Source organism: Homo sapiens, chromosome X (assembly GCF_000001405.40).
Source record: "Homo sapiens chromosome X, GRCh38.p14 Primary Assembly".
NCBI lineage: Eukaryota > Metazoa > Chordata > Mammalia > Primates > Hominidae > Homo > Homo sapiens.
The window spans coordinates 89,920,187-89,924,377 of NC_000023.11; the positions used below are offsets into that span (position 1 = coordinate 89,920,187).

At 41.2% G+C, this 4,191-nt stretch overlaps 1 protein-coding gene across 1 annotated transcript; it reads left to right on the forward strand.

The window, feature by feature from the left end:
* Nucleotides 1-1,721: 1,721 nt before the first annotated feature.
* On the forward strand, nt 1,722-2,697 carry TGIF2LX (TGFB induced factor homeobox 2 like X-linked). The gene is made up of 2 exons (NM_138960.4): nt 1,722-1,782; nt 1,879-2,697. The coding sequence occupies exon 2, from the start codon at nt 1,900-1,902 to the stop codon at nt 2,623-2,625; it is 726 nt and encodes a 241-aa protein (NP_620410.3). The 5' UTR covers nt 1,722-1,782; nt 1,879-1,899; the 3' UTR covers nt 2,626-2,697.
* The last annotated feature ends 1,494 nt before the right edge of the window (nt 2,698-4,191 follow it).

The following is a 4,191-nucleotide window of genomic DNA, read 5'->3' on the forward strand; positions in this document are numbered from 1 at the left end:
TGTTCATTAGATTTGATTGTGTTATTCAGTAGGTCTCCCTTACAATAAATTTTAAGTGATGAAAGTCAGTACCAGTAAGGAAGATTACCAACAGCCAAAGGATCAGTAGACAACATTCTGAAATCCAGCCCAGTGACAAGTAAGAACTCTTAAGGGCAAAAGGAAACTGTGGATAATATATGCTGCTTCAGACGATAGCTAGGACTCTGAAAAATATATGAAATTAAAAATAAATAATACCATACAGTATTATTAAGGAGTCAGAGTTGATGCTGGTGGTAATTGTCTTCAAAGTGAATCATAGTGTTCTTGAAAAAAGTCAAGCCTTATTTTTCAGCTACTAGAAATGAAAATTTGAAATTTACAAATTATTTTCATTTGACTTACCGGGTGATTTCCACATGCTGGAAATATCAAGAAATATTTGGCCGGCTGCGGTGGCTCACACCTGTAATCCCAGCACTTTGGGAGGCTGAGGTGGGTGGATCACTGGAGGTCAGGAGTCCGAGACCTGGCAAACATGGTGAAACCCTGTCTCTACTAAAAATACAAAAATTAGCTGGGTGTGGGGGTGCACGTCTGTAATCCCAGCTACTTGGGAGGCTGAGGCAGGAGAATCACTTGAACCTGGGAGGTTGAGGTTGCAGTGAGCCGAGATTGCGCCACTACTGCACTCCAGCCTGGGTGACAGAGCGAGACTTCATCTCAAAAAATAAAAAATTAAAAAAATTAAAAAATATATTTAAATAAACTGTCTGTGATGGCCATTATTTCTTGAATTCTATCTTATTCCACTTATTCCACATTACTAAAAGATCCCTGAATTTCTGACTGAAGTTTAAAGAGAAACATCACAACTAGATATCAGAGTCCAAGGAAGAGACACAAAGACCTCAGTGGTACTGACAGGCAATAGCAAAGTCATTCAAAAGACAAAGATTTTGGCTGGGTGCGGTGGCTCACGCCTGTAATCCCAGCACTTTGGGAGGCCGAGGCCAAGGCGGGCAGATAATGAGGTCAGGAGATCGAGACCATCCTGGCTAATATGGTGAAACCCGCCTGTACAAAAAATACAAAAAATTAGCCGGGCGTGGTGGCAGATGCCTGTAATCTCAGCTACTCGGGAGGCTGAGGCAGGGGAATTGCTTGAACCTGGGAGATGGAGGTTGCAGTGAGCCGAGATGCCGCCATTGTGCCACTGCACTCCAGCCTGGGCAACAGAGCGAGACTCCATATCAAAAAAAAAAAAAAAGACAAAGATTTTAAGGCCATAGAGAAGAAAAATTTAAGCAGCAAGGCATCAAAAGCAAAAGTCTAGTTCAAAATTATTATTAATATCTGCTTTGAACATGGAAGAATGGAAGAGGGGAGTCAAAGTACAGTAGTTACACTCTTTTATTGAGGTTAGTAGCTAATCAACAATTTGTTCCTGATATATCTAGATGAGCCAGTGAGACAATTATAAGTAATAACGGGAAGAACAATACCAGAGTAAAATCAAATAGGAAGAAAGTGGTAGGCGTATTTACACTAATAGAAATAGAGTTCGTCAGTTAGTGGAAACTGGTGACAACAGCAGAGAAAACTCTGGAGAGCTATAAACTGCGTGAAATCAAGTGCATTGGAAGTTACAGAAAATACGCAAGAACAATGGGAAAAGAACTCCAGGAAGTGTAGGGGAGGGGCAGCGTGGAGAAGAAAGGATGTGACGTCACTGAGATAACCAGCTCGGCTGTTAGCAACTCTGTTAGCAACGCTGTTTGTCTTTCTCGGAAACAACAGGTGAGAATTCCCCTTACAGACCTGCCCATGCTTTCTAAAGTGGCTCTCCCAAACCTACCTTTGTCCTAACTCAGTTGTCTGTGATTCTCAATATAGTAACGATAAGCCTCTTGGAATATGGAGGCCGCTGCGGACGGCCCGGCTGAGACCCAAAGCCCGGTGGAAAAAGACAGCCCGGCGAAGACCCAAAGCCCAGCCCAAGACACCTCAATCATGTCGAGAAATAACGCAGATACAGGCAGAGTTCTTGCCTTACCAGAGCACAAGAAGAAGCGCAAGGGAAACTTGCCAGCCGAGTCCGTTAAGATCCTCCGCGACTGGATGTATAAGCATCGGTTTAAGGCCTACCCTTCAGAAGAAGAGAAGCAAATGCTGTCAGAGAAGACCAATTTGTCTTTGTTGCAGATTTCTAACTGGTTTATCAATGCTCGCAGACGCATTCTCCCGGATATGCTTCAACAGCGTAGAAACGACCCCATCATTGGCCACAAAACGGGCAAAGATGCCCATGCCACCCACCTGCAGAGCACCGAGGCGTCTGTGCCGGCCAAGTCAGGGCCCAGTGGTCCAGACAATGTACAAAGCCTGCCCCTGTGGCCCTTGCCAAAGGGCCAGATGTCAAGAGAGAAGCAACCAGATCCGGAGTCGGCCCCTAGCCAGAAGCTCACCGGAATAGCCCAGCCGAAGAAAAAGGTCAAGGTTTCTGTCACATCCCCGTCTTCTCCAGAACTTGTGTCTCCAGAGGAGCACGCCGACTTCAGCAGCTTCCTGCTGCTAGTCGATGCAGCAGTACAAAGGGCTGCCGAGCTGGAGCTAGAGAAGAAGCAAGAGCCTAATCCATGATTGATGATGTTCCAAAAACCCAAGTAGTCAGTCCCTTATGTACTGTGGTAAACCTGTTTATGTTCACCCCAACTTATTTGTATGCTTATCTTTTATAGAGGCATCTTTCTTTCTAGTGGTTTTATGAGAACCAATCTTAATTATTGGGACTAAATTCTGTCAGATATTTCAGTGTTTCCAGGTGAAAGACACTAAGGTGCCATCATAATGAACACTGCAGCAAAGATTTCTTAACTCTCCTTCCCCCTGGATTTGAACTCTTTAGACCATCAGACTAATACATCTGAGATTAAACATCAAGCTGAGATTTCAGAGATAAATGTTTTTGGCTTTCTAGCCAACTTTCTTAGTCCCAGGGTTGCTACATATAATAAGTCACCCCTCTTTCTCCCTCTCTCTCGGTAATCTTCTCTGTTCATTAGTATGAGTGATAGAAAAGAAAGCCTCTATAAAAATGGCTATAACATCCCTCATTTTATTGTTGGAGTTTTGTGAAGCTTTCAATTCTTATATTCCTTTTTGTACAGTTTATTGGCCAATTTTGAAGAAGTAGTTATTCTTTGCAGGGAGTTGACCATGAGAGCCAAAGTACAGTAAATTCATGAACATTTTTTTGCATAAAGGTGAACTCTTCTTGCTCTGAGCAGTGAAAAGTCTGCATAAAGGTAAGAAAATTCCAAATGTTAATTTTCTCTTATTGGCTGTTGGTTAGATAGTTGGTTTTAGAGAATACTTTTTATTGATTTTAATTATAAAAGTAAAAACATAACAAAAAATAGAAAAAAACTGACAAAAAAATTCCCTGGAAGAAACCAAAGGAAGATAATTTAAAAAGAAAGAAAATGAATCAATATATAACATGTCAGCAAAAAGTGAAGTAGATCCAGGTATTCTATTATTTTATCTTTTTAATACATTTATGTATTTTTCCTTTTAAATTTCTTGGTTTGGTAGGGAGTGGGGTAGGAATGTAAAAAGCTTCAGACCGGTCCCGCATGAAAATAATCCTATTGTCTTAAAAAGGCAGCTTTTTCACAAGTACAGGCAGATTTTCACTAGGATACGAACAGAAAGATACTACCCCAGAGAGCTGTAATTTTACTTCTCTGCTTTTAGGGAGCTAAAACCTGAGGAATCTAGGGCTATAAATTGGACTCTAGCCTGATTCTGATTCTGCTCTAGTGTGAAATAGATCATGATTTGTCTGCTTCTAGGGCCATTTTTTATATTGTTATCTAATTACTGGCAATTTTAAATATAAGATGCCGTATCTTATTTAGGCATCTTAACAAACAATAGTCATGGGTTATTACTTTGCATATTATAAGTTTCCATGTTACCAGAAAGGAAACAGGCCCACATTCCCAAACTGTTGTTTCTGAAATAAACTAAAATAGGAAGGAGTTGAGGTTCCTAAGGCATACATGAATCCAGGGGCATTTAGAAGGAAGTGGTATAAAAACATTCATCGTAACCTTACTGAGGAGGGCCCGTAAACACTCAAGGAAACGCCCAAACCATTTTGTTTATAGTGCCTGGCAAAAAGCATTTTCTGCATATGGATAC

Excerpts from the sequence above, each read along its gene's own strand:
- TGIF2LX (NM_138960.4), top strand. The coding sequence starts at position 1,900 with ATGGAGGCCGCTGCGGACGGCCCGGCTGAGACCCAAAGCCCGGTGGAA.